The following is a 24,472-nucleotide window of genomic DNA, read 5'->3' on the forward strand; positions in this document are numbered from 1 at the left end:
AGAATGGTTCTAGAAGCTTAGAAGATAATGTTAAATCCACAAATGCCAAGTGCTGACCACAGATAAAAATGAATACTGTTCCCTTTAAAGTATCAGTAGTCATTAGGAGAGGCTATAAAACTATTCCAACAATCCTGCCAGTTTCAAAGTATGTATCACATTAATTCTTTCCGAACTATAAAAGTATGTTCACTTAGAAAATTTGAATAAAGAAAAAACACACAAAAGAGAAAACAGTTACTTAATGTCTCAGTTTAAGAATATTCTTTTTTTCTTTTTTTTGAGACGGAGTCTCGCTCTGTCACCCAGGCTGTCCCCAGGACTTTTTTTTTTTTTTAAACCTACCTATCTCTACCTTTATTCACTGTGGTCCCTACTGCTTAGAACACCCCTTTCTTTTCTCTCTACTTAATGTTTACTGTTCAGTCAAATCTCATGTTCTCTATAAAGTTTTCCACAACTTTCCCATCTTAGACTTATTTGTAATTACAACTTGTAAAAAGTCAAGTCAAATATGGAGTATTAGAAAGAAAACTATGAATACTGGGGGGTAAAGTGAATAAAATAAAAATAAATAAATAAATAAATAATAGAAAACAGAACCTAGCTGTATGACTGGACAAGTCAATTAACCTCTCTAGAATTCAATTCTTTGCCTGCAAAATGAGAGGGACAAACTAGATCAGCGGTTCTCAAAGCATAAATTAATTAGAATTATGTGGAAGTTTGGTTAAAACAGATTGCTGGGCTCCACCTCCGTAATTTCTGATTCAGAAAATTAGGGAGGAATGAGAATTTGCAGTGCTAACACGTTCCCAAGGGATGCTGATGGTGGTGGACCAGGATCACGCTTTGAGAACCATGGGAGTCAAAGAAAAGTCTTTGAATGCCAAGGTAAAACAACTGATCTTTATTCTGTTTTTTTTTTTGTTTTTTTTTTTAGTGGAAAAATTTCAATTACTGTTGTAACATTCATCAAACCTTTTATTAAGAGATGGCTTTGGCAGCAACGTGCATATAAGAAACTAAGGCACAATAAAAAAGACTCCTTCAATATCAGCAATAAATTAGAAAAAGGCCTGGATTAGGGTGGTGGTAGTAAGAATAAGAACAAAATAGAACATGAAATCAGGAATCACTTTCTAGAATTGTGAGATCACTATATCATTTTTAGGGATTTAGTGTTCAAGTTACTTTCTTAGTACATTTCAATTTCTAATGTTTAAAATTAAAAATTTGGGGGAAAATGACAGACTAGGTAGACTCATTTTTTTTTTTTGTTTTTGAGACAGGGTCTCACTCTGTCGCCCAGGATAGACTGCAGTGGCATGATCACAGCTCACTGCAGCCTCGACTTCTGGAGCTCAAGTGATCCTCCCACACCTCAGCCTCCTTAAGTAGCTGGGACCAAAGGCGCACATTTGTTTTTTGCAGAGATGGGGTCTCACCATGTTCCCAGGCTTGTAGGTAGACTCATTTTATCTCCAAGACTATTTAATGTAATTAGTAAGAAAATAAAAAGATATAAACCCCTACAACAAAGAAAACAGGATGGACACCATCAGTGTACATAAGAAATTTCAACAGATTTCTGGAACACACAAAAATAAAGGAATGTGGCCAGGTGCAGTGGCTCATGCTTGTAATCCCAGCACTTTGGGAGGCCAGAGTGGGCTGATCACCTGAAGTCAGGAGTTCGAGACCAGCCTGACCAACATGGTAAAACCCATCTTTACTAAAAATACAAAATCAGCCAGGCATGGTGGTGCATGCCTATAATCACAGCTACTTGGGAGGCTGAGGCAGGAGAATTGCTTGAACCTGGGAGGCAGAGGTTCCAGTGAGCCAAGATTGTGCCATGGCACTCCAGCCTGGGCAACAAGAGCGAAACTCCATCTCAAACAGTTCAAAAAAAAAAAAAGGAATGTTGCCTGGTGAAGCAAAGTAGAAAAAGCTGTATTGCCTGGTAAGATATAGATGAGCCTACAACAGAAGACAGAGATATCAAGTTCATTCAAAACCTGAGCAAAAGCCAGGCATGGGGGTGCACACGTGCAGTTCCAGCTACTCAGGAGGCTGAGGCAGGAGGATCACTTGAGCCTAAGAGTTCGAGGCTGCAGCGTGCTATCATTACATTATGCACTCCAAGCCTAGGCAACCAAGTGGAATACCGTCTCTAAAGATGAAAAACAAACAAAAACCTCAGAGAAGCTTTTAACTCAGAAAATGCAAGTACAACAAAGGACACAGTGATATGTGGATCTCAAAACAAGCCAAATCTCACCAAACCACCAAACAAGCATAAAGATAGATTAAATAGATTTCCAGACACACAGAGACTTATAAAGTTAATCTTCTCCACAATCTTTCTTAAGAAATTACTTGAAGACATATTTCAGCAAAACTAAGGTGTAAACACCAAAAGAGGAAGACACGGTATGCAGCAATTAATGGACTATCTCAGGAAAGCAACAAAGAGAAGGAATCCCATGATAAAGGGTATAAAATAGGTCCAAAGAAACCAGTATACATTGGAAGAGGGCTCTGGGAATGAAATGTCCTTGAAAAAAAGTTATAGATTAGATAGTAGGAAACTTGGAAAAACTTGAGGACATAAAAGGCTGTAAGTGGTATGTAAAAAAGAATCCATCAAAACAGCTAGAAATAATCTTTTGAGTGGCCTACGGACAGTTGTATCAGTTAGTGGAGAACAAAACATAATTTTAGCACATATTCAGCACTATAGAGGTAAAATGTCCATATTCGTAAGGTGAACATTTACTTTTTAACTTCAACAATCAACCTACATATAAATCAATGAAGAAAACTTCACTAACAATAGGATAATTATATTATCAACTGTGATAATGAAAATGTAGAACTGAAACAGTACAATGTAAAAGGCAAGAACCACGAATGTCGTAATACAAAGGACGGAGTCTACAGATATTATCCAAGTTGAAGAAACATAAAATTAAGCTTTAAGTATATGATTTAAAGCTATACTGGGATGAGTTGGATGGTAAGAATGTTGTATGTAGACCATCACAGCAGAAATCAATAGACAATGTTTAAATGTGATAATGGGATAAACTCTGAGCAGCCAATATAGACATTACACTATTTATGCACAGAAACTCATCTACTTTAGTCAAAGTTCACCACTCAGGATCTTTACTTTGCACACAATTCTTTTAATTAGGGCACCAGATTTCCAAGTCTGCATACCTAACAGTGCATGTGGATTTACTAGAGATTATAAAATCAGTATACAAACTGCCCCATAAACAAACAACACACCATTTGTTTGGAGAGAAAAGATATACACAGCCATTAATGAGCAAGAAGGTATTTTTTTTTTTAAATCAGCAGAGACAGGGTTTTGTTTTGTTGCCCAGGCTGGTCTCAAACTCTTGGCTTCAAGTGATCCTCCTGCCTCAGCCTCCCAAAGTGTTGGGATTATAGTCGTGAGCCACCACACCTGGCCAGAAATTTTATGGTCTCATACAGACATACATATAGCTATACTATATATGCAACCAGATCATGTGAGACAAGTAAAGACTACAAATATAAAATAAGATGCTGTATCTGCAGTACAACTGATCTACATAGAAGCTTAGAAAATCAATAAAAATAATCATGGGGGGTAGATTTCATAGCAGGGATAGGGATGTGGTTTAGGGGTAAGATAAGGACAGACCATGAAACATGAAAAACTACATGTTCAGAGAGAAGGGACATTAACAAATGAGCAAAGCTAACTCAGGAGCTTTGTCACGAGAAGTCACAGTAAACTCGAGAAGGAAGTCTTCAGGAACTCAAAGTCATTGAATGAATATACAAAACTGGCAGACGCAGGACTACAGAAATATTTTTTAGGCAAGCCTGTTTCTTACCATCAAAATTACAAGACAGCCTTTGCAGCTGGAAATACAAGAATCATAAGGCAGACGCAGCAGACTTTTAAAAATCGCCATTATTTTGTCCTTTATATGGGCAAATATATATATATACACACACACATACATATATTTCAAATCTTTACCAAAGTAGATGAAATATCGCATTAAAGAACAGCAGATGGCGCCAAAATATCTTTTTAAAAAAATCATTGCCTTGGGTCACTATAAAAGAGCGTAAACTAGAAAAAAAAATACAAATTATCCAAGTTTTATTTTTATTTTTTTGAGGCGGAGCCTCACTCTGTTGCTCAGGCTGGAGTGCAGTGGCGTGATCTCAGTTCACTGCAACCTCTGTCTCCCAAGGTTTCGCCATGTTGGCCAGGCTGGTCTTGAGCTCCTGACCTCAGGTGGTCCACCCACCTCGGCCTCCCAAAGTGCTGGGATTACAGGCGTGAGCCACCGTGCCCAGCCCACTTATCCAAGTTTTCATGTAGTAAATCTACAGACTGATGTCAATAACAATGTTCTAAAGCATGAGTACTTAATGAAAAACATAATACAGGCCAGGCGTGGTGACTCACGCCTGTAATCCCAGCACTTTGGGAGGCCAAGGTGGGCAGATCACCTGAAGTCACGAGCTCAAGACCAACCTGGCCATCATGGTGTATCCCCGTCTCTACTAAAAATACAAAAATTAGCTGGGCATGGTAGCACATGCCTGTAATTCCAGCTATTCAGGAGGCTGAGGCAGGAGAATCCCCTGAACCTGGGAGGCAGAGGTTGCAGTGAGCTGAAATCATGTCATTGCTCTCCAGCCTGGGCAACAGAGTGAGACTCTGCCTCAAAAAAAAAAAAAAAAAAAGAAAAGAAAAATGAAAAACATAATACAAATGCAAAAACCTGAACTGACTTATCTAGAAAAAGGGTCGGGCGCAGTGGCTTATGCCTGTAATGCCAGCACCTTGGGAGGCCAAGACGGTTGGATCACGAGGTCAGGAGTTCAAGACCAGGTCAACATGGTGAAACCCCGTCTCTACTAAAAATACAAAAATTAGCTGGGCGTGGTAGCCCGCGCCTGTAATCCCAGCTACTCAGGAGGCTGAGGCAGGAGAATGGCTTGAATCCGGGAGGCGGAGGTCGCAGTGAGCAGAGATCGCGCCACTCTGCACTCCAGCCTGGGCGACTGAGCAAAACTCTGTCTCCAAAAAAAAAAAAAAAAAGAAAAGAAAAGAAAAGAAAAAGTATTAATAGCTATAAAATTAAAGGAATTCATATCAACATTTACTTCAACTCTTAATGGCACTAACAGAACTAATGAGCAATACAGGTAATTTAAAGCCACTCTTCAGAGATACGTATTTCCTTTCTTGATTCTAGGATGCGATGTATAAGCAGAAACACTACAATAAAATGTACCCAACTAATCTGAAGATCATCCAGAGTTCAAAATATTAAAATACAAAAATAAAAAATGAAAAAAAATTAAGGATTTAGAGAACTTGTGCCAAAGTCAATGGTTCGCTTTTATCATGATATTGGAGTTAAGACTGAATTCAATTTCAGATGTCTTGGAGGATTTTTTAAAAAAAGATTAAACTAATTTCACCGATTGGTGCTGTGAAGAGAGGTTGGGAAAAACTTGGCAAAGATTTAAAAGTAACAGGCTCTAGATGATTTACATACATACACAAAAAGAGTATATTTCCATAAATGGATGAGACCTCAAGAAAGATTCTCTTCCAATCCCTTGTATACAAACAGCTGAAGCTTTACTCTTGTCTTTCTTATTTGCAGCCCTCAAAGTGTTTTCACAGTTACGCTTTCAAGGTAGCTGGGGGGTTTACACCCTTCAAGCACTGAAACAGAATTTTAACTTTAATCATTTTGATTAAAAATATTTCCAAACCCAATTATGTTGTCTTTTAAGACAAGGATATTCTTAAAATAATATTAATACTTTCATATTATAAGATAATCATTAGGATCATGAAATAGTCTATTTTTTTGTGCTAGGATGAGACCTGAGATTGAGGCCCCATTTATCAGTACCAAGCTATTTTCTAGAATAAGTTATCCTAAATGCTTAGTTTGAGATTCTCATGAAAAGTTCATAGATTTTCCCCCCTTTCTTGCTGTCATGTTGCTGTTTCTAGCTGTCCATGGGCTAACTATAAAATCCTCTCTTCTCTGATAAACCGATAAAATAAGCTTAGGAGACATGTCTGTTTTTAAAGTAAGAGTAAACGGGCACTAAATGAGAGCTTAAGAGGTTTTTTCCAAGAAAGAACATGGGTTTTAGAACTATGCTATGCTGCTCAGAAGTCTTTATTGCTTCTGTTTCTTAGTGTTAAATGAAACTGCTGGGCACTTTATTCCAAATAGTTAAACTACTCATTTTTATCACTGTGCCCTGACTAGCTAACTCATTTGCCAGAGAGCACAGAACCAAAGAATCTCCAACAGCCAGGGCATGAGAAATTGGCTATATTTCACATGGCTAGCTAATAAATTTAAACAACAATTATGAATGTAAGTTTTCAATCCTTAGCCTTAAGAATTATTTTACCCTGGATTTTTTTTTTTTTTTTTGGAGACAGAGTCTGGCTCTGTCGCCCAGAGTGGAGCGCAGTGGCACAATCTCGGCCCACTGAAACCTCCGCCTCCCAGGTTCAAGCAATTCTCCTGCCTTAGCATCCCAAGTAGCTGGGACTACAGGTGCATGCCACCACGCCCAGCTAATTGTATTTTAGTAGAGACAGGGTTTCACTGTGTTGCCCAGGCTGGTCTCGAACTCCTGAACTCAGAAAATCCACCTGCCTCGGCCTCCCAAAGTGCTAGAATTACATGCGTGAGCCACCACGCCCAGCCTACCCTGGGTTATTAACTAAGGCTAATCAAAACTTTTCCCTGCAGGAGAGAGAGAGAAAGAAAGTCAAACCAGTCACATAGAATAACTGTGTTCCACTGGAAAATAGGAAAAAAAAAAAATCAGTTGTTTTCCCCTATTTTTTTTTTTTTTTTTTTTGAGACGGAGTTTCACTCTCGTTGCCCAGGCTGGAGTGCAATGGCGCAATCTCGGCTCACTGCAACCTCCACCTCCCGGGTTCAAGTGATTCTCCTGCCTCAGCCTCTGGAGTAGCTGGGTTTGCATTTTTAGTAAAGTCACTACGTCCAGCTAAGTTTGTATTTTTAGTAGAGATGGGGTTTCTCCATGTTGGTTAGGCTGGTTTCGAACTCCCAACCTCAGGTGATCCACCCGCCACGGCCTCCCAAAGTGCTGGAATTACAGGCATGAACCACCACGCCTGGCCTTCCCCTATTTTTAAGTCTTAAACTGGGAAGTGTAGCCGTCCTCAAACTTAGTTGTACACTGTGTACACTTATGTATCTTGTAAAAACATATACATCCACACTTCCTATGGAGTAGATATTGTAATTGACTTCATAATATTCATTCTATCCCATATGAATAGTCTGACCTTTTTTTTTTTTTTTTTTGAGACAAGATCTTGCTCTGTTGCTCAGGCAGAAGTGCAGTGGCACAATCATGGCTCACTGCAGCCTCGATCTCCTGGGCTCAAGTGATCCTTCCACCTCAGCCTCCCAAGTAGCTGAGCCCACAGGTGCATACCACCATGCCCAGCTAATTAAAAAAATTTTTTTTGGAGAGATGGTGTCTTGCTGTATTGCCCTGACTGGTCTTGAATTTCTGGGCTCAAGCAATCCTCCCATCTCAGCCTCCTGAAGTGCTGGGATTACAGAAGTGAACCACAGCACCCAGCCCATTTATGGTGACTCCATACCCTAGGATTGGCAGGTCCAAGCCAATGTGGCCCAATGAGACACAAGAAGTTAACTTGCTTGGTTTTGGCTTCTGGGAAAGAGACGTCCTTCTCTCTTTTTTCCTGATAGATACAAACAAGGATGACGGATGCATTATTTACAGAAGGCAGCCATCCTAGGTCCTTAAGGAGAACTAACCTAAGGCCCATGTTGGCACAATGAATAGGGCACAGCTAAGACAACAGCAGAAAATCAAACACAAAACTTCTTGTCATGTAAGGTTAAGTTTTTTTTTTTTTTCTTGAGATAGAATCTTGCTCTGTTTCTGTTGCCCAGGCTGGAGTGCAGTGGCACAGTCTCAGCTCACTATGACCTCTGCCTCCCAGGTTCAGGTGATTCTCCTGCCACAGCCTCCCGAGTGGCTGGGATTACGGGCGCACGCTACCATGCCTGGCTAATTTTTTTTATTTTTTATTTTTAATAGAGATGGGGTTTCACCATGTTGGCCAGGCTGGTCTCAAACGCTTGACCTCAAGTGATCTGCCTGTTTCGGCCTCCCAAAGTGCTGGGACTACACAGGTGTGAGCCATCGTGCCTGGCCAGTTTTCTTATAGTTTAAGCCAATTTAAATCAGATTTAAGTTACATCCAAAAGCATCTTGAAATTTGAAAAAGCTCCGCTGTTCAAGATACATAACCAGGGTTGAAAGCCATTGGGACTAGAGCAGTAATAGCCTGAAATTCAAAAGAAATGAAACAAAGGGCGGGTGATATGAAGAACTGGAAAGGAAAATGAAAATAAGAATCAAAATCTAATCTGTGAGGCAAACTTTTTATTTTTTATTTTTTTAAGAGATAATGTCTTGCTATGTTGCCCAGACTGGTCTTGAACTCCTGGGCTCAAACAATCCTCCTGCTTCAGCCTTCCAGAGCAGCTAGGACTATTGTGCCACCACGCTTGGCTAAAAGGGCAAATGTTTAATCATAAAAATGTAAGTGCAAATCTCAAAATATGCACAATGTATAATTCTCTCTCTGGATCATCTTTTAGCAGTGATCACCACAGTACAAGTACATAAATGCTGTATAATAACTATAACAAATCTAAGAACAATTAGCCCAAAGACTTACAGCAGCTTCAAAAACGTTTTCAGCCGGGCGTGGTGGCTCACACCTGTAATCCCAGCACTTTCGGAGGCTGAGGTGGACAGATCACCTGAGGTCAGGAGTTTGAGACCAGCCTGACCAACATGGTGAAACCCCATCTCTACTAAAAGTACAAAAATTAGCTGGGTGTGGTGGCGCATGCTTGTAATCCCAGCTACTTGGGAGGCTAAGGCAGGAGAATCGCTTGAACCCCGGAAGTGAAAGTTGCAGTGAGCTGAGATCGCGCCATCACACTCCAGCCTGGGTGACAAGCGTAAAACTGTGTCTCAAAAAAAAAAAAAAAACAAAAAAACAAAAACAAAACAAAAAAAACCACCATACACACACAAAACAAAACGAAACAAAAGTTTTCCCCTTGCCTTCAAATCTATTTCAATATAGAAAATAAAACCAAAACATTGTTGTTAGGTTAGCTCAACATATAGTAGTCTCAAGTTAAAAATGCTATAGGAGAGCTAATGAGCTAATTATTAAATTAGAATTCTATTTACACTTTCTTGTTAGGAATAATCACTAGTTGATTTTATAAAAGATATTCTGCTTTCAGGCCAACAGAGAAACAGAATTAAATAAAAATATACTTTAATGTCTACAAGTGCTCTTAAACAGCTCGTTTACATGGCTCTGAAACAACACAGCTAAAGAAAACTTAAGCGAAACCTATAATCAAATCATAAAGGCATTAGTTTAATAAACTCTTCTTTAAAGAAAGGGTCTACAGACAGCTCCTAATTTATGAAGTACCTAAATAAAAGTGGTAACTTTATTTCAAAAGTTTCCCCTAGTTCTCACTAGACCTAATATTTTGGGGTTATGGCATAACAGTTTTTCAAGGAATTGGTTAAATCTGAAGAAATATAGCATCCTCCTCTAGAACACAAAGGCCGGGTGCGGTGGCTCATGCCTATAATCCCTGCCTACGGTGGGCAGATCACTTGAAGTCAGGAGTTTGAGACCAGCCTGGCTAACAGGGTGGAACCACATATCTACTAAAAATATAAAAATAAGCTGGGTATGGTGGCACATGCCTGTAATCCCAGCTAATTGGGAGGTTGAGGCAGGAGAATTGCTTGAACCCTGGAGGTGGAGGTTGCAGTGAGCCAAGATTGTGCCAATGCACTCCAACCTGGGAGACAGAGTGAGACTCTGTCTCAAAAAAAAAAAAACCAAAACCCCATAAAGACAAATCAATAAATCTAAAGCTGGATTTAGGGTTTTGCTATTTTGAACAAAATGGTAGTCAAGTTACAATACGGCATATGTGCTGGAATTTTTAATTTATTTCCATTAAAAAGCTGGTAATTTGGTCATGTTTACAAAGGCATGTGACTTCATTGATCTTCACAGTTATAAGACTAACATAACTATGGTAGTTAAACAGAATCCCTCCTAATTAAATGTTCCTATTCATTAAATATAAAAAAGCATTTATTAAGTACTCACGGTATTTCATGAGAAAACATATAATGAAAGAGACAGAAACTACCTTTGAACAACTCATAATTAAAGACAGGAATTGGCTGGGCGTGGTGGCTCACGCCTGTAATCCCAGCAGTTTGGGAGGCCAGGGCAGGCAGATCACCTGAGGTCAGGAGTTCAAGACCAGCCTGGCCAACATGGCAAAACCCCATCTCTACTAAAAATACAAAATTAGCCTGGTGTGGTGGTGCATGCCTGTAATCTCAGCTACTCGGGAGGCTGAGGCAGGAGAATTGCTTGAACCCGGGAGGCAGAGGTTGCAGTGAGCCAAGATCTCACCACTGCACTCCAGGCTGGACGACAAGAGTAAAACTCCATCTCACAAAAAAGACAAAAATAAACAAGAATCTAGATTAAATAATGGTAAATAAGAGACTAGATTTAATAAATTATTTATGTTATAAACAAACAATAGAGGCTCTGTCAAGATGAATAAAAGTCCACAGAGGTCAGGTAAATCACTAACTTACTCACTAGGGCAATGACATATCTATGAATTAGGTATTTTCACCCACATCAAGTGACAGAATTGAAAAGAAGCAAAGCCTTGAAATTTACTTCTACTAAATGAATCAACATGTATTATAATAGTCTATTTGTTATGTGAGACAAGAACACTCTTTCCTCATTTATTTGCCAACAATACTTTAAGTAAAATATTAGTGTAACACTTGACAAGACTTTCATTCTACGTGTACAAACAAAACACCTGGGCGCTTGTTAGTTTAAACCTATTTATAGAGTAAAATTTTCTTAAACTAAAAATTTCCTGAACTGTTTCCTGTTTCCACAGGAATTAACAGAGTTGTGTTAATTGTAGATATACATGAACCACAGTGTCTGGCAGGTAATAAGTGCTCAATAAATACCCATCAATAAACAAACTGCAGCAGAACCTGATTGTATCTTTGTGACAGAAACTGCTATCACCCCAAATCTATTTACCCCTTCGGTGATAGAACCCAGATTTTAACCTGCACAGATGAACATCTTGAATAAAGCTCACATTTCTCAGCTGCTCTTATTACTGAGTTGGCCATCTGACTAGGTTTTGGCCAATGGGCTACATGGCCAATGGGCTACAGGTGTCCTGTATGACTTCTGAGATATGTTCTAAAAGAAAGAAAGAAGGCCCTTCTTCACCCTTTCTGCTTCCTGCTAGAAAGAATGTTGGAGAGTGAACAAATAGTTTGAACCATAAAGGCTGTGTTTACAGACTGCAGACTAATAAATAAAACAGGGGCCTAGGTCCCTAATGTCATAGTGGAGCCTTCATACCAACTCTAGATGCTTACCTGTAGACTTTCATCACAACAGAGAGGAATAAACTTCTATCTTGTTAAACAACTGTTGTTTTGGGTTTCCTGTCACTCTGGCAGATCTAATTTTAATTAATAGTCATACAAAGTAAAAACACTCTACATTTGTGTAAAAATCTTAAATAAATTTAAGACACTGGTGGAAACAACATGGGATATTATTAGAGTCAACAAAATGTGTTCAAATACCAGCCCCAATACTTAGCTATATGATTGTGGGCAGACACTCAGCCTCATTGAGCCTCAGTTTCCACATGGGTAAAATGGCAGAAAAATATTTACTTCTGAGAACCACTGTGAGGATTAACTATGATAAAGGGAGAAAGAAGGAAACAAAGGAAAAACAAATAATCAGCAAAGATACTTTTAAAAACATTAGCTGGGGTCAGGTACAGTGGCTCATGCCTATAATCCCAGCACGTTGGGAGGCTGAGGCAGGAAGAATCACTTGCAGCCAGGAGTTCAAGACCAATCTGGGCAACATAGCAAGACTCCCATCTCTACCGAAAAAAAATTGGCTGGGCATGGTGGCACACAACTGTAGCAGCTACTTGAAAGGCTGAAGCAGGAGGAACTCCTGAGCCCAGGAGTTTGAGGCTGCAGTGACCTAGGATCTTGCCACTGCACTTCAGCCTGGACAAGTCAGACCCCTTCTGCTTCAAAAAAAAAAAAAAAAAAAAAAGTGGGAAAGGGAAATAAAAATGATTCAAAACCCAAAAATAACGTGGAAAGCAGGTAATTCAAATACACTCTATCTCATCTTTTATAACATACAACATCTACAAAATGAGGGTGCTGTGTTACAGGGTATCTAAAAGTTCTTCCAGCACTAAAAAACTGCGTCCCAAAATGATGTGTTCTGTTACACATATCTACGCTAGCAAGTTTGTTTTTTTTTTTTTCTTTTGAGACGGAGTCTTGCTCTGTCGCCAGGCTGGAGTACAGTGGCGTGATCTAAGCTCACTGCAAACTCCGCCTCTCGGGTTCAAGCGATTCTCCTGCCTCAGCCTCCCGAGTAGCTAGGATTACAGGCGCGCACCACCATGACCAGCTAATGTTTATATTTTTAGTAGAGATGAGGTTTCACCATGTTGGCCAGGATGGTCTCGATCTCCTGACCTCGTGATCTGCCCACCTCGGCCTCCCAAAGTGCTGGGATTACAGGCGTGAGCCACTGCGCCCGGCCTATGCTAGCAAGTTTTCCTAAAACCTTTCAGCTGCATGTCACTTTGAGAAAAAATACCCACCCTCCAAACATACTTTGATAACAGCCAGGATTCTCCATGATGAGCCTTGATCATCTTCAGACTACTTTTAAATATGAACACTGTTCTGACTCTGCAAAATGTTTTGTGTTCTCTGGCATCTTTTATATGTACTCAAAAACAGAGTTGCAATATCTAAGAATTAAGGCCCTCTGATGATACTCACAACTTATAAATAAGCTACCTGAAAACTAAAAATCTAATTGCTCCCAGGTTCCAGATTTTGTCTAACATTGCTTCATTTAATTAATTGCTTTAATTACTTAATTTCATTATTCTCTCCTCTCTTTATTGGTACAGTGCAGTATCAGTCAGATAGGCTAGTTTAAGCTGCAGTAACAAATCCCGAAAATCTCCAGTCTAGCTTAAAACAACAAAGATTTATTTGTTGTTCACTTTACATGTTTATCCTGAGTTAGTGAAGAGCTCTGCTCCATAGAATCATCCTCCACTGGAACTCAGCTTATGGAGCAGCTATTCTTTTGAAACACTGCTAGTTGCAGCAGCAGAAATAAAAGAGAGTTCTGGAAGTTCTCATACTGGCAATTAAATGATTGGCCTGGAAGTGACACACCAACTTCCATTCACAACTCTTTGGTCAGAACTGTTCACACGGCCCAATGACAAAGGGGTCAGGAAGTGCCAGATGGAGGAGAGCCAAAAATAATTACTAAGCAGTATAAATGATTACTGTAAGTCCCAGTCTAACGACACATATGAAAAAGGTTAAATGTTTTTAGTGATATAGATTTGAGAAATTATTAATTCTAATGGCCATTTGATCACTTAAGAACATCAGGACCTTAAGCTTCACTGAAATCACAAACATAAACTTCCAGATTCCAGGGGAATCTATATCAAATGCCTGGAGTAAGTCAATAAAGAACTGACACACATTATCTGCATATTGTTATCTATGTAGACATGGATACATACATACATACATATTCTCCTAAAGACATAGTACATTTCCAGGGAAATAGAGATGACAATGTCAGCCCAAATTTGAGGCTTTAAAAAAACCCATTAATTCATCCCATGTTAGTTTCTCATGTCCAATAATTAGAAACAACAATTTTTTTTAAGTCTCTGAATATGGGCCAAACAGTTAGCAAGAGTCATATACTTAAATGCCTGAAGATCACAGGTAAAGAAAGTGAGTGAAGTAAAACATTAACATCAGAGGAGGCAGAGAACTGAAGAACTTAAGGCCCACACAATCCTTACCCACTGCAAATCCCTGGACAACTACTGCCATGTCAGAATTCAAGCCAGTGTTACTGGATGGTCCGAAATGTATAAAGCAGCTGGGATTCCAGCTATTCAGGAGGCTGAGGCAGGAGAATCACTTGAACCCGGGAGGCGGAGGTTGCAGTGAGCCGAGATCGCGCCACTGCACTACAGCCTGGGGGTAGAGCAAGACTCTACCTCCAAAAAAAAAAAAAAAAAAAAGCTGGGAATCAAGACTATGTGAAATCTCTGGAAGCTTTCATGTTCTTCTCATTATTCCTGGGTACCCTGAAATTTCACAATATGCCACAGTGTGGGCCTTTTAACATTCACTGTCATGAATGCTTGCTGGGCCCTTCCAATTGCAAATTCATGTACTTTATTTTTGAGAAATTTTCTTGAAATATTTGTTTGAATTACTTCTCAATTTTTTATTTCTGGAACTCCTAATATTTGAGAGTTGGACCTCCCAGACTGACAGCTCTCTACTTTAATCGCCCACATTCCATATTTTTGTTTTAAAATTCCAGTTCCCCAACCATTGTTGTCATTGCCCAGTAGGCTCATAAACAAAGTGGCCATACTGGGAGGAATGGAGGTTATACATGGGCTTAGCAACAGGGACTTCTACTTGCCAAGGTTGATTTGGCTATGGCTGCTGTTGAGCGTCCAATTTGGTAGCAGCAGAGGCCAATACTTAGCCCCCAATATAGTACCATTTCCTGGGGTGATCAGCCAGGTACCTAGTGGCAGGTGGATTACACTGGACCATTTCCATGATGAAAAAGGCAACATTTGTTCTCACTGGCATAGACACTTCACAGCAAATGAAAGGCAGCAATGGGCCCATGTTCATGGAATTCGCTGGTCTTACCCCGTTCCCAGCATCCTGAAGCAGCTGGCTTCACAGAACAAAGAAGTGGCCTTTTGAAGATTCAGTTACAACGTTAGCTAGGTGGCAATACTTTGTAGGGTTGAGGCAAAGTTCTACAGGAGACTGTGTGTTCTGAATCAGTGTGCTATATACAGTGTTATTTCTTCCACGGCCAGAATTCACAGGTCCAGGAAACAAACGGTGGAAATAGGAGTGACACCACTTATTTATTACCCATAGTAACTCACTAACGAAATTTCTGCTTCTTGTCTCTGTGAGCTTATGCTCTGCTGGCCTAAAAGTTTTAGTTCTAGGCTTTTATCAAGAGACACAATAATGATTTCACTGGAAGTTAAGACTGCCACCTGGCCATTTTGGACTCCTTATGCCTTTGAATCAACTGGCAAAGAAGGGTGTTATTGTGCTGGCTGGAGTGACTGATCTTGACAACCAAGCGGTAACTAACTCTACAATGAAGGAAAGGAAAAGTTATATCTGAAATACAGGAGATCCCCTAAGGCAACTCTCTTAGCAGTACCATGCCCTCTAATCAAATGCAATGGAAAACTACAACAACCCAATTCAGGTGGGACTACTAATGGCCCAGACACATCAGGAATGAAGGTTTGGGTTATCCCACCAGGTAAAGATCCACGGCCAGCTGAAGTACTTGCTGAAGGCAAAAAGAGTACAGAATGGGTAGTGGTAGTTATAAAGAAGTTATAAAGAAGGTAGTTATAAATACCACATAGTATGTAAGTTATAGGATTTCAAGAAGAGCAAACCCCACTCACGTGTTTTGCATCCTTTTTTGGGGCAAGGGTTAGTACACTTTTGGTCATAAACAGGATAGTCATATCCTATTAGGTGGAAGTATGACCTGGCTAATTGTTTTATTTTTAGTAGAGACAGGGGCTTCACCATGTTGGCCAGGCTAGTCTTGAACTCCTGACCTCAGGTGATCCACCCACCCTGGCCTCCCAAAGTGCTGGGATTATAGGAGTGAGCCACCAAGCCTGGCCAAGATTAGAATTTAAATTGGTGAACTCTGAGTAAGCTGACTGCCTCCCATGTGGGTGGGCCTTATCCATTCAGTGGAAGATCTGAATAAAACACAAAGGCCTCTCCAAGCAAGAAGGAATTCTCCAGTCAACTGCCTTCGGTGTTCATCTGTACCATCAGCTCTCCTGAGTGTCTCTCTCTCTCCCTATGAATATAGCCTATTGAGTTCTGCTTCTCCAGAGAACCCTAATACACATGGATTTTTAAATTAGTGTTATTGCTACTTACCATCTCATTCTGCTTCTTAAGTTTTCTGCTCTGTACTACCCATAAATCTAAAGAGTTGCTTCTGATTGCTACATAGTCTCTGTGTGTGGGCTGAATTGTGCCTCTTAAAATGGTATTATGTCCTAATCCCTGATACCTGTGAACGTGGCCATATTTGGAAATAGGGTCTTTGAAAATGCAAGTTAAGGGAGGTCTTTAGGGTGGGGCCTAATTCAATAGGACTAGTGTCCTCATAAAAAGAGGAAAGTGCCAATGTGAAGACAAACACAGAGGGAGAATGCTATGTGACAAGAGGCAGAGACTGAAGTGATGCAGCTGCAAACCAAGGAATACCAAGGATTAACAGCTACTACCATAATCTACAAATAGGCAAGGAAAGATTCTACCCAGATTCTCAAAGAATCATGGTGCTGCTGCTACTTTGATTTTAAACAGAAGTGTAAGAGAATAAATTTCTGTTGTTTCAAGCTCCCAGTGTGTGGCAGTTTGATATGGTAGCACTAGAAAAGCTAGTATGAGCACTCACAAATTTTACTTATCTACATTCAGACTGATATGTGGAACACACAGGCTGTCACCAACTTCCTGCCACTACAAATAATATGGCAATGAATACCCATGTACATATCCCTTTATGAAACTCTTACAAATACTCTGAGATGTCTAAAAATGAAATTACTGGATCATAGGACATGCACATACTACTACTTGAGCTCCAGAATGGCTGCAAAGTCTACGCTCACTAACACTTGGCATTATCCTCCGCAGGGGTTTTAGAAAGTCCACAAATGCTTTGATACTCCTCTTCCTTGAGTATTGATACTCCTCCCCTTAAGTATTGGTTGAGCTTAGTGACTTCTAATGAACAGGAAGTGGTGATAGTATGCAATTTGGGAGAGTAGGTGATAAAAGACACAGTAGCTACCTGCTTGCTCTCTTCGATTACTTGCTCTGGACAAAGCCACGTGCCCTATCACCAGAAGACGCTTTATGAATCCACTCAAGCAGCCCTGTGGATAGGACCAGGCAACAGAAAATTGAGACCTTCTGCAAACAATTAGCAAGACACTGAAGCCTCTTGCCAACAGCTACGTGAATGAGACATCCTGAAAGCACATACTCCAGCCCCAGTCAAGACTTCAAATGACTATAGCCCTGGCCGACAGTTTGAGTGCAACCTAATGAGACTTTGATAAAGATGTTAAATTTGGGGGTAATCTGTCATGAAAGACAACTAAATGCATTCATTCAGTTTTCTGGTTTTTCTTCCCCTCAAACTAATAGGTATAAAATGAGATCTCATTTTAATTTACATTTTTTCTGACGACTAATTATTTGAACATGTCTTCATAGGTTTATTAGCTTTGAGGTTCATTCCATAAACCGCCTATTTAGAACCTTTGTGTATTTTTATATTAGGGTGGCTATCTTTTTCCTTTTGATTTCCAGGAGTTCCTTGAATCCTGTAGATGTTAAATCCCTTGTTAGATTTCACATTTTGAAAACATCTTTTCCCATACTATCATGATGTCCCTTCAATGCACAGAACTCTTTAATTCTGACATAAACAAATTCATTCCACTTTTTGACATGAGCAATGTGCTTTTAAAGTTCTGTAAACAATCTTTTCCCAATACTGGGGATAATCTGTCAACATTTCTATACGTTCCACATGTCATATATATTTTGATGTTTTTAATTTACAAGAGCTCATTTTTGTTCTTTAATGATCCTTATTTATAACCTCCAGTTCTGACTTCACAAATAACAGTAGCTTCTTTTATCCCTCTGAATCTTAGTTTCTTTCACGTTTTCTTTTTCCGGCACCATTTCTGCTGCTTCCAATGCTCTGGCTTCCATCTTTCCTGTTATAAGTTTACCTCAATTCTCTGGTAATCTCCAGCTATCCATAAATGTATTAGAGTTAAGGCATAAAATGCTGTTTAGAAATTCTGTGTGAGGTTTTAACTGGTAGGATTTAGTGTAGAGCTGCAGTTCTTAAAAAGTGTAGTCTGGGAATTCCTGGCAGTCATCAAGGGATGGCTTTCGGAAAGTATTAAAGTCAAAACTATTTTCATTATTGTATAATTTGTGTGCGTGAGACAGTTTCGCTCCTGTTGCACAGGCTGCACTGCAATGGTGTAGTCTTGGCTCACTGCAACCTCTGCCTCCCAGGTTCAAGCAATTCTCTGCCTCAGCCTCCCCAGCAGCTGGGACTACAGGAGTGCGCCACCATGCCTGCCTAATTTTTGTATTTTTAGGAGAGACGGGGTTTCACCATGTTGGCCAGAGTGGTCTAAAACTCCTGACCTCAGGTGATCCGCGTGCCTCGGCATCCCAAAGTGCTGGGATTACAGGCGTGAGCCACCGTGCCTGGCCTTATTTTCATTATTAATAGACATTAAGACATTATATTTTTTTGCACACTTTATTACAAGTACACAGTAGAGTTTTCCAGAGGCCACATACCTGACATGGGATATCACTACAGCCCAAATGCAGAAGCAGATATTAAAATGTAGTCAATTCCTGTTAAGCTGGCCATTAGATTCACAAATATGTAAAACTATTCCACTCTAAATTTTTGTTTTGGAAAATAGTTATTTTCCACAAAAATTATGTCATGTAACATATTTAATAGATTACTGTTGCTTTTAAAGGGACATTTAACATTTTTATTTCTTTAATACAGTAAATATTGATAGCTATAACCCACATTAAAAAAAATCTACTGGGGCACAGGGCTCCACAAGCAGTTAAAAGGGTCTTGTTTAAAAAAGTCTGAGAACTGCTATTGTAGAGTAATAAAGTAGGAACACACAAAGTTTCAGTGTCACTACTGGTAAGTCTATGGATTTATTTTTAGACAGGTTTTCCCAGAAAGTACTCTTCTAGCCTCTTCTTGAAAGGTGTAAATCTAGACGCTAGCACTCAAGGAGGCAGAGGTTTAAAGCACTGGGATGCTCAACTTTTCATATGCAGACTTGCCATTTAATCAACATTTTAGGTTTGAAGGCCCTTCCCTTATCTGTATCTGGTATTTCTCTCCCACAATAAGCCTCAGCTTTCCGCCTTGATGGTAAAGAGGCAAATACCTGGTTGCACAGGACACAGAAAGGAAGCTAAGAAGTCTAACTGCTCTTTTTAAAGTCTTACAACCAGTGCTCCTGGGTTTTATCCTTGCCCTACACGTGGCCCTCAAAGGCACCTGTGTCTCTAATTCCTTAGTCTTTTGAGGTTCTTTGGCATGATTTGGATTATTTCCTGTAGCTTCCATACCTTCCCAGTGCTCCTGGGTTTTATCCTTGCCCTACATATGGCCCTCAAAGGCACTTGTGTCTCTTATTCCTTAGTCTTTTGGGGTTCTTTGGCATGATTTGGCTTATTTCTTGTAGCTTCCATACCTGCCGGCTGTTTCAACTTTATTGGGTACACTAAGTTGCTACCCATTCACTCACTTTTCAGTTTCCAAACTGATTTATTTTGTCCCTCTTACCCTTTTCTCTGTTCTTGTGGGTTTATGCCTTTTAAAAATTATGTTACTGTAACATGATTTCAATTAAAAACAAAGATATGTATGTGTTCAACTTACCACATTTTCATCCCTTTACATTTAATCTGTGTTCCTCTGCTTTGAGTATAACTATTGTAAGGGCAGCTGGCTTTTTTTTAAAATATGTAACTTTAAAGCTGGGCCCGGTGGCTCGTCCCTGTAATCCCAGCCCTTTGGGAGGCCGAGGTGGGTGGATCACGGGGTCAAGCGTTTGAGACCAGCCTGGCCAACATAGTGAAACCCCGTCTCTACTAAAAAGACAAAAAATTAGCCGACTATGGTGGCGGGCACCTGTAATTCCAGCTACTTGGGAGGCTGAGGCAGGAGAATCGCTTGAACCTGGGAGGCGGAGCTTGCTGTGAGCAGAGATTGCACCACTGCACTCCAGTCCGGACGATAGTGCGAGACTGTCTCAAAAATAAATAATAAATAAATAAAATATATAACTTTAAAATATACATTAATCCACTGTAATTATATTTCTATTTTGTTGTGTTACATTTATCCTGATTTTCCTTTACTTCCTATTCCCCCTTTTCCTCTCATGCTTTAACCCTCAACATACCATTTACTACCTGGGTCCAAAGGATGCCTTAAAAATTTTTTTAGGTTATTTTACAAATAATTTACAGAGACAGTGCAAGACAACTTTTAAAATAAATTTTAAAAGGAACTTAAATACAGCAAATACCTCTTTGTACTAAGTAAGTTTAACACACAAACACCGTACAAAATTTAAAAAAAAAAACAATTTTGAGACAGAGTCTTGCTCTGTTGCCCAGGATGCATTGCAGTGGTGCAATCTCAGCTCACTGCAACCTCCAACTCCTGGGTTGAAACAATTCTTGTGCCTCAGCCTCCTGAGTAGCTGGGACTACAGGCATGTACCACCATGCTCAGCTAATTTTTCTATTTTTAGTAGAGATGGGATTTCACCATGTTGGCCAGCCTGGTCTCTAACTCCTGGCCTCAAGCGATCCACCCGCCTCAGCCTCCCAAAGTGCTAGGATTATAGGCATGTGCCACCATGCCTGGCCACATACAAAATTTAAAAAACATTGTCTCAGGACTTTTTTTTTTTTTTTTTTTTAAAGCAAAAAGGGATGGTTCAGGTTCATGTTGTGAAATATTCCTGTTGAATGACTAACTGGATAAAAATACCATATTTTCTTTGTCAAAACGTCTTCTGCATTCAATTCTTAAGTCTGAGAAAATTCATACAGGATATGATCATCTCAAGAATCAAAGTCTGACTTCATTTATATGCTCAATTTCACTATCATTATTGGCGTATGGAACAGCAATATCTAATATAACTTTCCACAACGATGACAATGTTCCGTATCTGTGCAGTCCAACATGGCAGCCAGCCACCGTGAAGTAAGAGTAATTGTAAGTTGTATTCTTCTCCTACATAACCCCTTAAAAGTGTGATGAGGAATGGAATTTTAAATTTTATTAATTTTAATTATTTTAAATATACATAGTCACATGTGGCAAGTGGCTACCATATTGGACAACTTAGGTCTAGAGTGCTATTTATCTTCGCGTTTATCTTCTAATTCGTATGTCTCCTAAATTTTTTTATACGTTTTTGAAGTAGGATGTAGTATTTGAGCAATGCAGTGAGAAAACTGAAAAATGACTATTTATTACATCTTCCATCTTCCTTCTAGGAGATTCTGTCATTCTTTTTTTGTCTTTTTTTTTTTTAGCACAGTATAAATAATTGATAAGTAATGATAAAATTCCTAGAGTAGTAAAATATTTCAATATATAGGAAAAGCCAAGATTATTAAGATCTCATAATGGATGTTAGGTTTATAAAAAAGGGTCTAATGGACTCATATGGTAACTGTAAGATAGAATAATTTTTTAAAATAAATTTTCTCTTTGTTCTTTGGTAGATCTCTAAGAATACAAGTCATAATATCTACCCTTCTAAATAGTTGGCACTGCTCTAAAATGAAAATCAAAAATGAAAATTATTCCAACTGACCCTGATGGTATACCAAGGGTTTAGCCTTCTTCATTCTCTTATTTTCATTCCTTTAGTTCTGCTGGTCTGGAAGACATCTATTTTATTTCTATTCCTTTTGTGGTTACTCAGGTTAAAAAAGAAAAGCAGCAGCAGCAGCAAACATGTATAGAGTAGTACTAATCAGTGGCTTTATATGTATTTCACTTAATCCTCCCCACAACAACTATGAGAAGGTATTATTGTCATCCCCAATTATACATAAGGAAATTTACGCGTAAGAAGGTAAAATAACTCCTTAATGTCACACAGTTAGTAAGAAATAAGCTAGTCTTTCATTCAGGTAGTCTGGCTGCAGAGCCACAAAATAGCTATTTAGTTTTGGTAAAATACCCTGAAGTTGGTCAGTGTCTCTTTTTGTGCTACTTTTTGGGAACAAAGCAAGAATAGTAGCATTCCTGACTCAACTCTATTTTCCAACTTTCTTGTTATTGTCTAGAGTTTTGATTCTACTTTAAAAATTATGTATTTGCAATCAACTCAACTTGATTTATCAAATATTTTGCCAATTCTTTGTTTGCCACTGTATTATTTTTTGCAATTCCTCCTTCTCCCTGGTTTACTATTCTTGCTGAAGTACAATCTTTGGTTCTCCCATCAAGCTTCTGTAAGTGAGGAGCTCTCTATTTTGTGTATTTCCTCACTTTGGGCCTCATTCTTGCTGACAGATAATAGTTTAAATGAGTATAGAATCAAGGTCAACAGTTATATTCCTTATACATTCGGAGGAAAGAAGATCCTTTTATCTTCTGGAAGACACTGTTCTGGTAAATACGTTGTTAATTTAACTAATATTTTAGTGTAGGGACTGTGGCATTTTTCATTTTGAAAAGCTTTTATGTTTTATGATCTGCAATTTCACTTTTGAGCATCTAGAAGATTTAAAAAATTTATCCTGGTAAGCAACTGTTCAGCAGTGCGCTATTTCAATATGAAAACTCAGTTCAATATGAAACCTTAAATTCTGGAAACCTTTTAATCATTATCTCACTGAATACTGTTTCTCTACTACTATGTCTAATCTCTCCTAAAATTTCTTTTGAATATTGAACTTAGGTTTGAATCTCTCGATCTATATTCATTTTTTTTTTTCCACTTCTCTCTTACTACATTCTGGGTGAATTCCTTAATACTATTTTCCAAATCACTGTTTCATTGACCATGTTCAGTCTAGTACACATCTAATGACATCTTACTTAATACAGGGTTTTTTTTTTTTGAGAGGGTCTTGCTCTGTTGCCCTGGCTGTAGTGCAATCATGGCTCACTGCAGCCTCAACCTCCTGGGCTTAAGCGATCCTCCCACCTCAGCCTCCTCAGTAGCATGGGACCACAGGTGTGCAGCACCACACCCAGCTAATTTTTCTATTTTTTGTAGAGATGAGGTTTTGCTATGTTGCCCACACTGGTAATTTTGGTTCTTTTATGGCAATTATTCCTTCCTTTACCTCCCTGAGGATCTTAAACATACACTTTAAAATTGTTCTATTATTTACACCTATAGACTAAGGATTCACTTGAATATCAATTATTCCCACTCCTGCAAAAAAGAAAACATACTATAAATACTGTTTCATGATTCCCATTTTTTCCCACTAAGCAACAAAACTTAGGAGATATTTCTGTATCAGTACACAGAAAACATTCTCTTTTCCCTCTGATGAAGGTGTTGACTTGGTTATTTTAGGTTTAGTTTTTCTTCTGTATTTTCGAATTTTTGTTTGGCAGGTTCATTGTAACTCTAAGTTGCATGGTGTGTGTGTATCTTTGTGTGCTTACCTTACCCTAACGATTTTTCATTTTCTCCATCTCTCACTCAAACCTCCCACCCCAGAATAAGGTTTTTCGTTTCGTTTTGTTTTGTTTTTGAGATGGAGTCTCGCTTTGTCGCCCAGGCTGGAATGCAGTGGTGCGATCTTGGCTCACTGCAACCTCCGACTCCCAGGTTCAAGCGATTCTCCTGCTTCAGCCTCCCAACTAGCTGGGATTACAGGCGCGTGCCAACACGCCCAGCTAATTTTTGTATTTTTAGTAGAGATGGGGTTTTACCATGTTGATCAGGCTGGTCTCAAACTCCTGACCTCATCATCCGCCTGCCTCGGCCTCCCAAAGTGCTGGGATTACAGGCGTGAGCCACCGTGCCTGGCCCAGAATGAGGTCTTATAATTGCTGCATATGTCTCCTCCTGAAGATCCAGTCCCTAAGTCATGGGCAGGTAGGCCCAGCTTTTACCCAGGAGGCTGTCACTGCTTCCTTCCAGCACTCTGGACCTGCAATTTATATAAGCCATATCCCTAAGCAACAATCATACATTCTTTTTCAGTTTTTTCCTGATTCAGCCCTTTAGTTTCTGGGGTAATAAAAACAGGCTGTTCATCTCCCTGCTCCAATCTGTCTACCAATATACAGTAGAGTTTTGGTCTCTATTCTGCAGACGACCTCTCAGAGGCATCTTCCTGCCTGCAAAACAGATTTTGATAGATTCATGTATTTAGTCTCTATTTAACACCTTGCCTTTTGTTCTTTTTTTTTTCTTTTTTTAAGACAGAGTCTCACTCTGTCACCCAGGCT

The 24,472-nt window shown here is 39.3% G+C and overlaps 1 protein-coding gene across 8 annotated transcripts in view, besides 1 other annotated feature; it reads right to left on the minus strand.

The window, feature by feature from the left end:
• The window catches only part of FBXO11 (F-box protein 11), a 99,579-nt gene that overhangs the window by 47,014 nt on the left and 28,093 nt on the right, over positions 1-24,472 (minus strand). The window lies entirely within an intron of this gene.
• Positions 15,957-16,251: a silencer, noted in NCBI's record as "tiled region #9679; K562 Repressive DNase unmatched - State 14:Gen5'". NCBI's record gives its function as "represses a minimal TATA promoter and a strong SV40 promoter by Sharpr-MPRA in K562 cells {active_cell/tissue: K562}" and the evidence as "EXISTENCE:reporter gene assay evidence [ECO:0000049][PMID:27701403]".

The sequence above is a fragment of the Homo sapiens genome, chromosome 2, assembly GCF_000001405.40.
Source record: "Homo sapiens chromosome 2, GRCh38.p14 Primary Assembly".
NCBI classification, from domain to species: domain Eukaryota; kingdom Metazoa; phylum Chordata; class Mammalia; order Primates; family Hominidae; genus Homo; species Homo sapiens.